The sequence below is a fragment of the Homo sapiens genome, chromosome 2 (genome assembly GCF_000001405.40).
Source record: "Homo sapiens chromosome 2, GRCh38.p14 Primary Assembly".
Lineage (NCBI taxonomy): Eukaryota > Metazoa > Chordata > Mammalia > Primates > Hominidae > Homo > Homo sapiens.
The window spans coordinates 45,064,335-45,076,873 of record NC_000002.12 but is presented as its reverse complement, the minus strand read 5'-3'; the positions used below and the strand labels follow the sequence as shown (position 1 = coordinate 45,076,873).

General features: G+C 47.8%; 4 annotated features.

The window, feature by feature from the left end:
* Positions 285-949: an enhancer, noted in NCBI's record as "H3K27ac-H3K4me1 hESC enhancer chr2:45303064-45303728 (GRCh37/hg19 assembly coordinates)". NCBI's record gives its function as "activates a minimal SCP1, AML or CMV promoter by ChIP-STARR-seq in primed H9 embryonic stem cells {active_cell/tissue: H9 hESC(primed)}" and the evidence as "EXISTENCE:reporter gene assay evidence [ECO:0000049][PMID:30033119]".
* Positions 4,115-4,614: an enhancer, noted in NCBI's record as "H3K4me1 hESC enhancer chr2:45299399-45299898 (GRCh37/hg19 assembly coordinates)". NCBI's record gives its function as "activates a minimal SCP1, AML or CMV promoter by ChIP-STARR-seq in naive and primed H9 embryonic stem cells {active_cell/tissue: H9 hESC(naive and primed)}" and the evidence as "EXISTENCE:reporter gene assay evidence [ECO:0000049][PMID:30033119]".
* Positions 4,615-5,116: an enhancer, noted in NCBI's record as "H3K4me1 hESC enhancer chr2:45298897-45299398 (GRCh37/hg19 assembly coordinates)". NCBI's record gives its function as "activates a minimal SCP1, AML or CMV promoter by ChIP-STARR-seq in naive H9 embryonic stem cells {active_cell/tissue: H9 hESC(naive)}" and the evidence as "EXISTENCE:reporter gene assay evidence [ECO:0000049][PMID:30033119]".
* Positions 11,543-12,161: an enhancer, noted in NCBI's record as "NANOG-H3K27ac-H3K4me1 hESC enhancer chr2:45291852-45292470 (GRCh37/hg19 assembly coordinates)". NCBI's record gives its function as "activates a minimal SCP1, AML or CMV promoter by ChIP-STARR-seq in primed H9 embryonic stem cells {active_cell/tissue: H9 hESC(primed)}" and the evidence as "EXISTENCE:reporter gene assay evidence [ECO:0000049][PMID:30033119]".

The window sequence follows — 12,539 nt, the reverse complement described above, 5'->3', positions numbered from 1 at the left end:
TCTTCTAAATTTTTTTCAAAGTTTTCAACTTCTTTGCCTTTGGTTTGAATGTCCTCCCGTAGCTCAGAGTAATTTGATCGTCTGAAGCCTTCTTCTCTCAGCTAGTCAAAGTCATTCTCCATCCAGCTTTGTTCCGTTGCTGGTGAGGAACTGCGTTCCTTTGGAGGAGGAGAGGCGCTCTGCATTTTAGAGTTTCCAGTTTTTCTGTTCTGTTTTTCCCCATCTTTGTGGTTTTATCTACTTTTGGTCTTTGATGATGGTGATGTACAGATGGGTTTTTGGTGTGGATGTCCTTTCTGTTTGTTAGTTTTCCTTCTAACAGACAGGACCCTCAGCTGCAGGTCTGTTGGAATACCCTGCCGTGTGAGGTGTCAGTGTGCCCCTGCTGGGGGGTGCCTCTCAGTTAGGCTGCTCCGGGGTCAGGGGTCAGGGACCCACTTGAGGAGGCAGTCTGCCCGTTCTCAGATCTCCAGCTGCGTGCTGGGAGAACCACTGCTCTCTTCAAAGCTGTCAGACAGGGACATTTAAGTCTGCAGAGGTTGCTGCTGTCTTTTTGTTTGTCTGTGCCCTGCCCCCAGAGGTGGAGCCTACAGAGGCAGGCAGGCCTCCTTGAGCTGTGGTGGGCTCCACCCAGTTCGAGCTTCCTGGCTGCTTTGTTTAACTAAGCAAGCCTGGGCAATGGAGGGCGCCCCTCCCCCAGCCTCGCTGCCACCTTGCAGTTTGATCTCAGACTGCTGTGCTAGCAATCAGAGAGACTCCGTGGGCGTAGGACCCTCCGAGCCATGTGCGGGATATAATCTCGTGGTGCGCCGTTTTTTAAGCCGGTCCGAAAAGCGCAATATTCGGGTGGGAGTGACCCGATTTTCCAGGTGCGTCCGTCACCCCTTTCTTTGACTCGGAAAGGGAACTCCCTGACCCCTTGCACTTCCCAAGTGAGGCAATGCCTCGCCCTGCTTCGGCTCGCGCACGGTGCGTGCACCCACTGACCTGCGCCCACTCTCTGGCACTCCCTAGTGAGATGAACCCGGTACCTCAGATGGAAATGCAGAAATCACCCATCTTCTGCGTCGCTCACACTGGGAGCTGTAGACCTGAGCTGTTCCTATTCAGCCATCTTGGCTCCTCCCCCCACACAGTCTCTTTGGGATGCTGTGTTCACCAAGTCAGCACATGGGCTCTGTGGCCTCTTGTCGAATTAAGTCCCAGGTCAAAGAGGGAACAAGAGAAACCTTTGTTGTCTAGACTCTGTTAGGAGGAAAGGACAGGCCTAATATAAGTAGGGAAATCAGAGCCAGACATCTTGAAAGCAGAGGGACAGTGGTCTTGCCTGGCTTGCAGATCACTGCCCAGCCAGTGGGATGTGTGGAGGGTCACCAATTAGAGAACTTCAGTGATCTGCTTAGGTTCGTTAGATGAAGAGCTTGGGGTGATCCTCTGTTTCCTTCACCCACTTATTCTGCAAACACCCTGTGCTGTGCTGATGAGGTCCTGTGGTGGAGATATGATTACCACCTTGTGCCAAATCCCTCTCATCCCTGCCCCAGCACAACACTGAGTAAGCAAAGGCTGCCCCCTAAACAGCCATGCCCAAAAGGTACAGCTCTCCAGAATGCACCTGGAGGCAGCAGGGAGGGCAAGGGAGATGGGGAAGGGAGACCAGAAGCACTTCTGCAGGGGCACCTGGAGGAGCCCTACTTGTTCATTTTTCCTTCAGTTTTTATTCTCTGTGTCTCCAGTTATAACTCTTTCACCATAGGAACAAATTGAGGCAGGAACCAGACCTTGTGTACCGCAAAAGGCCCTAGATGAAGGGGACATCATGGATGGGAGGCCTCCACTGCCCAGCTGAAGTTGTTTGCCTCCCCAGAGACCCCTCCCACCACCATGGTTACAAATCATGCAACAGGAGGCCCCACACATGACGGCCTTTCAGCCCTTTGTCCAGAGTGAAGACAGCAAGTCACAGAGCCTGCACCTGGGTTCAGAAGCCCTGCACTTTGCCCTTTGTTCCTCCCCACACATGCTATGGGCAAGTCACTTAACGTCCTGAGCCCTCCCTGAGTCTCAGCTGCTGTGAAGATCCAAAAGAGATGGTGGCCAGGAAGGCTTCTCATAACAGACAAATGCCAACGGCTGGTATTATTGTCTTTCCATCAATATCTCCAGTAAATACTTGGATTTGTCTGGTCCCTTCTCTCCCTGCTAACTCACACCGCATCCCTGGCACCCAGGGCAGCAGCTGGTAGACAGTGAGTAGTGGTATGCATTTGTTCTTGAAGGAACAAGCAATTCTCTTTACACCCCTGTCCCCACACCACCCTACCTGCCTCCCACCATAATAGAAACAAGCTGAGGATGTTGCCAGAGTCTCTGTTCTTGTAAGTTCCTTGTGCCTGAGATTCCTACAGCCAGACACCATTCTCCATGCTAAGTCCTCCCCATAGCAACCTCTAGACCTGCACTGTTCAATACAGTAGCCACATGTAGCCCCTGAGCACTTGAAATGTGGCTGGTGCACCTGAAGAACTAGAATTTCATTTCATTTTAACTAATTTTACTTTAAAAACTGATACTGGTTTCAGTTACTGGGAAGTTGTATGGAACAACTTGGGTATGTGGATCTACTTGTTCAATTGTCAATTTGATGAAATCTAAATATAATCAAGTATTTCAGATGATGATCTAGTGCCTGAATTGAAATGTGCTATAAGTAAAATATAGACAGGATTTCAAAGATTAGTAAACAAAAAAAAGCAAAGTAGCTCTTTGACAAATCTTTGTATTGATTACATATTGAAAGGATAATGTTTTAGAAATATTGAATTAAGTGGAATATGTAATTGAAATTAATGTTACCTGTTTCTCTTTATTTTTTAATGTGGCTTCTAGGAATTTTTAATTTCATATGTGTTTTGCGTATTTCTATTGGACAGTGCTGATCTAGACCATCTATCTCAGTCCTCTTGGGCTGCTGTAACAAATTACCATGGGCTGGGTGGCTTAAAAGACAAATACTTATTTCTCACAGTTCTGGAGACTGGACTTTCAAGATCAGGACGCCAGCATGGCCGGGTTTTGGCGAGGGCCTTCTTCCAGGTTGCAGACTGCTAACTTCTCTGTGTCCTCACATGGCAGAGGGAGAACTAGAGAGCTCTCTGGGGTCCCTTTGATAAGGGCACTAATCCCGTGCATGAAGGCTCCACCCTCATGACCAAATCACCTCCCAAATGCTCCACCTCCTAATACTGTCACTTTGGGGGTTAGGATTTCAATGTATGAATTTTGTGGGGGACACGAACTTTCAGTCCACAGCCCATGGCACACTTCTTTCCTCCAAAACAAATAAAAGGGTGGAAGGGGGATTTGGAAAGCAGCAAAAGGCACTCTAGATGAAAGAAAGATCCCAACAGACCTAAGACAGGATCTTTATTCTGTTATAATGCAACAAGTATGTGCTTACCATGTGCCAAGCACTGTTGCAAGAAGTCACTTAATCCTCACAACGATCCCGTAGAGGAAGTCTATTAAGGTAAAGTAGAGATTACTTTACATATGAGGGAGCTGAGGCACAGACAGGTTGATCAGTTTGCCCAAGGTTACTGGGCTAGTAAGTGGCCAATTCAGAGTTTTTCACCCAGTCTGTCTCCAGAGCCTGAACTCCGAACTCCCCCGTAGACCGCTTCTAATTTTAGGCTATTGCTATCAATCCAATCCTCCTGTGTATCAGTGTCAGGTTGAATTCCACTCTCCCTCTGTCTAAATATTCATGGCTTCACTTCCCTCTCAGTGTCTCCTGCAAGTCTCACTTTCCTCCCTGCAGCGGCTGACTCAGTCCCCACGTTGTCTGAGGTCACCCACCAGTCCACTCGCCACGCCAGGCCTGGGCAGAGCACTCTTCGGGTCCCTGAAAGAGCCTTCTGGATGGAGGATAGGGGCTTTTTGGAGCCCTTCAGAATAAAATGCAATCTGAAAAAATGAATAGCCATGACAGGTTGCATTTAGGGCAGAAAGGGGGTTGACAAGGGGAGATGAAGGGGAACAGGGGAGAGAGATTCTTTACCACTCACAAAGTGTTACAGATGCAGGGGCTGCAAGCTTGTCCTTCAGACAAATGAAGAAGCAGTGGCCAGGACAGTGAGTAAGGGGCCTTCTCTGAGCTCTGTGCTGCAGCATGGGGTGACTCCAGATGAGCAGGATGGGGCGAGGTCTATAATTTGGCAAAGTGGACCCTATGCTGTGGACGTAACCCTCCCCACCAGGTTTACCTGCCAGGACAGACAGTCACCCTGTGTTAACATACTCTTCCCTTCTACTCTGCTCACCCGAATATCTGTTTCTAGGCATCTCAACACTACTCCTTCCCTGCCAGGGCCCCACACCCAAGTTTTACCACCTGTGTCTTCAGGGAGCAGAGCAGGCACACATGATATCCACTTCCACAGGGGACTCAGATAAGGCAAAGGGATCCCTCACCAGGAAGTGGCTTGCAAAAACGTCTAAGTGGATGGGTGAGAGACTGGCTTAGGCCTGTTCCCACTCAGGTTCTCCTCCTGCCAAGGGCAGAGGGAGGGCCCTGCCCGACAGGTGTGGCCCAGCCCCGGCTGCCGGCAGCCAACCATGCCGCCATAGAGGGGCCAGGATGGGAGGCAGGGCTTGGCCAGACCCTCTGAACACCGCTGAGCCCTGGTTTAGACCACTCAGGCCTTCAACAGGGAAGGTTTCAATTTGCAGAAACTTAGGCCAGATGAGCTCCAGCTTGGTGGGAAGAGAGGCTTAGAGCTGAGTGGAGCAGTTCCTGGTTGCCTTCCCAGAAGCATCCCTCACTGTTTTCTGAGCCACAAAGTCCTGAAGCCTTTGTTGACTCAGGGACAGCAAGCAGTGACCATCATGGGGATAACAGATAGTGTGGCCAGATGACCCTACCAGCTAGAAGTAAGGTTGGAAATAGAAATTCAAGTTGGCAAACACAGATTGAGCACGTGCTATGTGCCGAGCTCTGTGACCAAGAACAAGATTTCCCATCATGCAAGGCAGAGTCAGGGGTACTGTTTATTATAAAAGATACCACAGTGGGGAAGAGAGGCAGGGAAGAGACCCTGTGCCTGAGGAGCTGAGATGCCTGTTGTGGAGATGGCATCAGAGCTGGAACGTGGGGAAAAGGAGCATTCCAACAGATGGAGATGGGGAAGGCATTGCAGACAGAGGGAACAGTGCAAGCAAAGGCAGAGAACTGGCAAGTCATGGACATAGGTCAGGCAGTGAACAGTCAGTCAGCAGAGATGAGTGGGAGACGAAGCTGGGATGGAAGGTGGGCAGAACCTCGTAGGTACCTGCATGTGTCTTACAAAAGTCTGGAATTTCTTCTATGGGAAATACAAGGCATCACAGGCTGATGTGCAGGGGGACTGAGTGTTGAAGGAAGTAGCTAGAGATCAAATGAAGAAAGGTAGGTGAGCAGGAGGGAAGAAAGCAGGAAAGGATGCCCCCATGAACTCCCATACTCACCATCCCTCGGTCAATAGCAATTGGACGAGGCATCAGATTTCAGATGTTCACATTTGTCCTTTGGTGGTCCCTGTATGAGACCTCTCTAAAGGTTCCGTATTTTGTGGCACTTGGGCACCTGGCAGGGTTTGGAGGCTCTGCTGAGAAAGCTAGGATCAACTCCATCCTGAAGCAGGACCCAACTGTCGTGCCAGGTGGATGGCAGCAGGTAACCCTTGGCACAAACTCTTCACATCCATTGCTTCTCCACCAGCTGCATGTAATTCCCCCCAAGTTCTGCTCAGCTGGCCTCTGACAGTTCTGACAGCAAAGTTTTGCTGCATGAAGCCCAAATTCAGCCTATGTTAAATAAGGAGGGGAAACAAATAAAACTACATAGAACCAGAGAGTGCACAGGTCATGCGAAATACTCAGCAGCTCTTGTCATGTTCATAGTAGACAAAAACCATTCATTCTAAAGAAGGAATCAAAGATTTTATGGTTTTGTTTTCTTTAAGTTACTCATGTATTTATTTTAGGAAACCAAATGTGAATTAAATACTAACTTCCCTCAATTCTTCTTTGGTCATTTGCTTTAGGAATACTTTGGGAGAATAAAATAATTCTGCAGTTTTGTTGAGTTAAAACTTCCCTAGGAGGGCCATTTTCTTCCTCTCCCCTCACTGCAATTTCTGAACCCACAGCAGCGGCCTGGGGGAGGAGTTGAGGCATTTGGGCATCTTCTCTTCAAGACCAGCACCAGCAGCCAGGGTCCCCCTGTTCCCCTCTTTCCGTTCCATTCACCGTGAATGGCAGATTCCTCTGTCCGGGTCGGGTTTCCAGTCACCATAGAAACAAACTCGAGGCAGTTTCATTAATCATTTAGAGCACAAGAAGTCTAGGTCAGTCTGATTGCAGCATATAGGGTATCATCTCCGGGCCACATGGGACTCAGTCGATTTGAATTAAAAAAGATTAAGCTGCCCTGGGCTGCCTGGCCCCATCAGTTTAAGTTCTCATGTAACAGTGGTCTCTGGAGCCATATGGATTAGTGAGTGAAGCTATGCATTTATGTGGCAGGATTCAGTGAAACATTAGACGGCTGCAGGTGTCTTGAGGGGAAGAGGACAGGGATCACATACAGGTTTTTTTTTTTATACTTGTTGCTGTTCTTTGGAAACTGGAAACAATAACTCAGTTTTATTTCTCCAGTGACAGTTACCGCTCTTGCTGACCATGAAATGGTACATTTGTTACCTGGGTGGGGTTTATGGTTCACAACGAAATGGTCTGTGAGGAGCCAGGGATGGCTATGTTCCATACCTTCTCCGGGGTGGCGGATGAGAATGCTGACTTTTTATTTTTTTTTCTGTGGAGTGACAATAAATGCATCAAATAAATATTGATGGCATTTTAGTTTTGCTCGAATCAAGATTTATGAGCCCCAGGAAATTGACTTAGAGGCAGCTACAAATCAATGTGGCTCTGAAAGAGTTGCGTAGGGACCCCTCAAAATGAGTGCCCCCCCCTTCCAAAGTACCTACCTTATTTATGGGCCTCTCTGGGACTTCAAAGAAGCTCAGTAACTTAGGCCAGACTGTTTTATTGCTTCATGGAGCTAAGATGTTTTAGGAGGAAGATGCAGGTTACAGTGTATTAGGAAGCCTCTCTTGGGCGGTAGGCAAGAGCTTTCTGCATATTGAACTGTCGATCTAAAGATTATCACACTCTGGCTTCCTATAGAATCATTCCTAAATCTTCTCTGCAGACTCGCCATGGTCGAAAGTCCCAGGTGATAAGCCCAAAATAGAACATTTTTACTCTTCCCCCCCATCCCCCTTTGTTGGAGCAATTGCCTTGGACTAACAAGGAGGCAGCTGGGCCTGGTAGAAATCAGTTACAGAGTTCTGTGGAGTGTTTCCACAGGCCATCTAGTTACAATTCGGTGTTTTGTTTCTCTCTTCATTGTGACAGTGATGATCCTGAGTGCTTTGCTGAGAATGTCTGAAAGCAGGGACCAGCCTGGAGTCTGTGTCCAGCCCATCTGAATGGTCCTTGTTCAGCAGGGGCAGCTCATGGTGGTGGAGAAGCTGGGAGTTGGGAAACCCAGGTTCTCAAGCCAGCCATGCTACTGCCACCTGGCTGTGTTCCCTTGGGCAAGCCATGCTGCTTTCTGGGCCTCTATTTTCCTATCTCTCAGTTAAGAAACTTGACCATCTTCTTCCAGTTCTAAGTTTCTAAAATCCCTTCCCACTTATTGAGCACTTGATGGGTTCTGAAAGAGGAGAAATATGGCTCCAGCCTCTGGAGTCTGTGTGGTGAGAGCGGGGGTGGAGCTGGCATGAGCACAAATCTTCTCATCCAGCCTCGGGGAACCTTTCCTTCCTCTGAACCCCACGGCACATCCAGACATGACTCACAAGGCAGTACCCAGTACTCCTCTGTCTGCCGCAATCGCCAACATTGCAGTGGGTGATAACCTCGGCTCACCAAGTGGCCTGCAACCCTGCTGGGGCAGGATCATGTCCTCAGAACTCCATTCCACCTGGTAGAGGGCTGAGCCCCTAGGAGACCAGAGCTCTATTAACTGCCAGACCTTGTTTAGAGAGAAGAAAGAAGATGCAACACAGGAAACAGGGGAGATTTCCCATGAGAAAGTACCAACAGAGACTCTAGGGAGACGATATAGTAAACTGATTTAGAACCCACAGGAGGGTGCTGGGATTATGGATTTGACTTGCTAGCGGTGACTTTCAGCAAGCTGTTTAACTGCCGCAAGCCTCAGCACAGCAGGAAGATCCCAACTGCTGGGGTCACATGTCCTGGGTACTAGTCCCAGCTCTGTCACCTGCTACTTAGTGCAAGCTTAGTCAAATGGCTTCATGTGGGGGGGCTCTCTGATCCCTACAGGATTTTGTTTCAAGAAGGAAGGACTTAAATTTGTAGCCATCAGGAGAGCTGCCTGCAGAAAGTCCTCAGCTGTCAGCCTCCTACAAGGATTGCCTCAGCCCGAGAGAGTGATTTGCCCAGGGTCAGGCTCCCTTCCAGGACAGCTTGTGTCCAATGAGTGATCAGCAGAGGGATCCCTCTAGTGCCTTGGAACAACTCTGCAAGGCAATCCTAGCTCCAGAGGTCCCTGGGGAGTCAGCTGAGACCCTTACTTGAAATGAACGGAAACTCAGCTTTTCCCTCTGCCCTATCCTGTTTCCATGCCCTCCTCCTTTTTGCAGGTATTAATCCCCCAAAGCACTCTCTAATACACATCCTGCCTACTCATTGCTAATTTCCATCTCAGAGTTGTTGCTTCACAGGAAACCTAAGCAGTGACATTTTACAACTCTGAGCCATAGGTCCTCATCTAGAACACTGAGACAATGATGGTGCCTAGCCCACAGGTCCGGGCTGCAGGTTAAATGAGATCATCCATGTAAAGCGTTTCACTCATTTACTAGCATAATGAAACCGTACTATGGACGAGCTCTTTATTTGCCTAATACAAACTATTTTGCAGATAAACTGAATTTGATTTTGAAGTATGATTATGAATTAGAACCCTGATTTTTAGCTGGGCACATGACCACTCCGAATAAAAACCATTTTTGCCAGTTTCTCCAGAACTTAGATGTGTTCACATGATGAAGTTCTGACCAATGAGATATATTTTTAAATGGCATATGTAACTCCCAGAGAATGTCCTTAAAGACAGGAAGCCTGCCATCTGTCTTTCCTTTCTCCTTGCTAAAATACGGCTGTAATGGCTGCAGGTCCAGCAGCTATCTTGGGCCATAAGGTGACCTTGGAAATGGCAACCACGCACACCAGAACATCAAGATAGAAGAATCCTGGGTCACCCTTACCAGCCCTGGAGTGCATCTAGACTAGCATATGGGAGAGAAACACACCACTGTCATTTTGAGTTTTTTGTTAACTGTATCTAAACCTAATCCTAACTTTACACAGAGAGACTTCCAAGTGCGTAAAGAGACCATGAGCAAAGGCTCAAATGGTTATGGGGCATTCACAGAGCAGTAAAGAGACTGGCAAATGGATAACAACAACAATAATAATCCTTTATGTTCACATTGTGCGTTGCAGTTAATGTTCATATTATGCTTTGAACTTTCAAATTCTTTGTCATTTCATTTCATCTCCACAATTCCACAAAGAAAAAGAAAGTTATTATCTCCACTTTGCAAATGAGGTCCCAAGGTCACACAAATAGGAGCCAACAGAGTCAAAGCCAGAACTCAGATTTCTGAGGCCAGAACCTCGGTTTCCCCCAATGCATCAGATGTATACCTTTGACAATTCACTCAAACCAATTTAGGTAACAATGCTCTTGCCTAAAACTTGTATCCAGCAAATGTACAGCAGTTCATATGCAATAGGATGGTTTACACTGCTTTTAAGGCATCTTGCACTCTTTAACGTTCTGTTACTGACATTAATTGTGCATCTACAATGTGATAGGCACCATGCTTTATCATGCCAAGTGCTTTGACACGCACTGTTCTCCCATCTTCCTCAAATTAGCTCTTTATCCTACATTTCCAAGTTCTGTTTTCTGCCATGCTTCTGCCTCCATAAGTCTTTTCTGGTGGCCTCAAGAATAGGTCATTTCTTTATCCACTGTCCTCTCTTGCCTCATGATGGATTCATACAATACCCTCTTAACCAAATCCAGGTGGGTCCCAGAGAGAAGAAACCAGTGGATTTCTGAAGGAGTCCCCTGTTTAGTCCAGGAAAAAGAAACATTCTTCTTACAATAAATTGAGTGTGATGGTTAATAATACTGAGAGTCAACTTGATTGGATTGAAGAATGCAAAGTATTGATCCTGGGTGTGTCTGTGAGGGCAATGCCTCAGGAGATTAACATTTGAGTCACTGGGTTGGGAAAGGCAGACCCACCCTTAATCTGGTGGGCACAATCTAATCAGCTGCCAGTGAATATAAAGCAGACAGAAAAAAGTGAAAAGGCGAGACTGGCCTAGCCTCCCAGCCTACATCTTTCTCCCATGCTGGATGCCTCCCACCTTCAAACATCAGACTTCAAGTGCTTCAGTTTTGAGACTTGGACTGGCTCTCCTTGCTCCTCAAGCTTGCAGACAGCCTATTGTGGGACCTTGTGATCATGTAAGCTAATACTTAACAAACTCCATGTATATATCTATAGAGTTTGTTAAGTACTTATATATATATATATGGAGTTTATTAAGTATTAGTCAGGGTATATGTGTATATATGTACATGTATATGTATATATACCCTGATTATATGTATATGTATATATACCCTGACTAATACAGTGAGGGATAGGAAACTGTATTATTTTCCCAGGGCTGCCATAACAAATTACCACAAACCGGGTGGGTTATGACAACAGGAATTTATTCTCTCACAGTTCCAGAGGCAAGAAGTCCAAAATAAAGCTGTTGGTTGGGGCAGTTTCATCTGGGTGCTCAGAAAGAGCATCCGTCCCATGCCTCTCCCCCAGTATCTGGTGGCTGCCAGCAATCCTAGGCATTTCTCAGCTTGTAGAGGCATCGCACCAATCTCTGCCTCTATTTTCGCACGGTATTCTCCCTGTGCCTCTGGCTCTGGTGTCTAAACTTTCTCTTCTTATAAGGACATCAGTGATAGGATTAGGGCTTACCCTTAATCCGGTATGACTGCATGGTAACTTGATTACATCTGCAAAGACCCTAATTCTGATGAAGGTCACTTTCATAGGTACTAGGGTTAAGACTTCAACATTTCTTTTTGGGAGATAGAGTTCAACCCATAACAAAAACCAAGCAGAGGGGGGAGGAGCCAAGATGGCCAAATAGGAACAGCTCTAGTCTACAGCTCCCAGCGTGAGCGCCGCAGAAGACGGGTGATTTCTGCATTTCCATCTGAGGTACCGGGTTCATCTCACTAGGGAGTGCCAGACACTGGGCGCAGGTCAGTGGGTGCGCGCACCGTGCGCGAGCCGAAGCAGGGCGAGGCATTGCCTCGCTTGGGAAGCACAAGGGGTCAGGGAGTTCCCTTTCTGAGTCAAAGAAAGGGGTGACGGACGCACCTGGAAAATCGGGTCACTCCCACCCGAATATTGCGCTTTTCGGACCGGCTTAAAAAACGGCGCACCACGAGATTATATCCCGCACATGGCTCGGAGGGTCCTACGCCCACGGAGTCTCTCTGATTGCTAGCACAGCAGTCTGAGATCAAACTGCAAGGTGGCAGCGAGGCTGGGGGAGGGGCGCCCTCCATTGCCCAGGCTTGCTTAGTTAAACAAAGCAGCCAGGAAGCTCGAACTGGGTGGAGCCCACCACAGCTCAAGGAGGCCTGCCTGCCTCTGTAGGCTCCACCTCTGGGGGCAGGGCACAGACAAACAAAAAGACAGCAGCAACCTCTGCAGACTTAAATGTCCCTGTCTGACAGCTTTGAAGAGAGCAGTGGTTCTCCCAGCACGCAGCTGGAGATCTGAGAACGGGCAGACTGCCTCCTCAAGTGGGTCCCTGACCCCTGACCCCGGAGCAGCCTAACTGGGAGGCACCCCCCAGCAGGGGCACACTGACACCTCACACGGCAGGGTATTCCAACAGACCTGCAGCTGAGGGTCCTGTCTGTTAGAAGGAAAACTAACAAACAGAAAGGACATCCACACCAAAAACCCATCTGTACATCACCATCATCAAAGACCAAAAGTAGATAAAACCACAAAGATGGGGAAAAACAGAACAGAAAAACTGGAAACTCTAAAATGCAGAGCGCCTCTCCTCCTCCAAAGGAACGCAGTTCCTCACCAGCAACGGAACAAAGCTGGATGGAGAATGACTTTGACTAGCTGAGAGAAGAAGGCTTCAGACGATCAAATTACTCTGAGCTACGGGAGGACATTCAAACCAAAGGCAAAGAAGTTGAAAACTTTGAAAAAAAATTTAGAAGAATGTATAACTAGAATAACCAATACAGAGAAGTGCTTAAAGGAGCTGATGGAGCTGAAAACCAAGGCTCGAGAACTACGTGAAGAATGCAGAAGCCTCAGGAGCCGATGCGATCAACTGGAAGA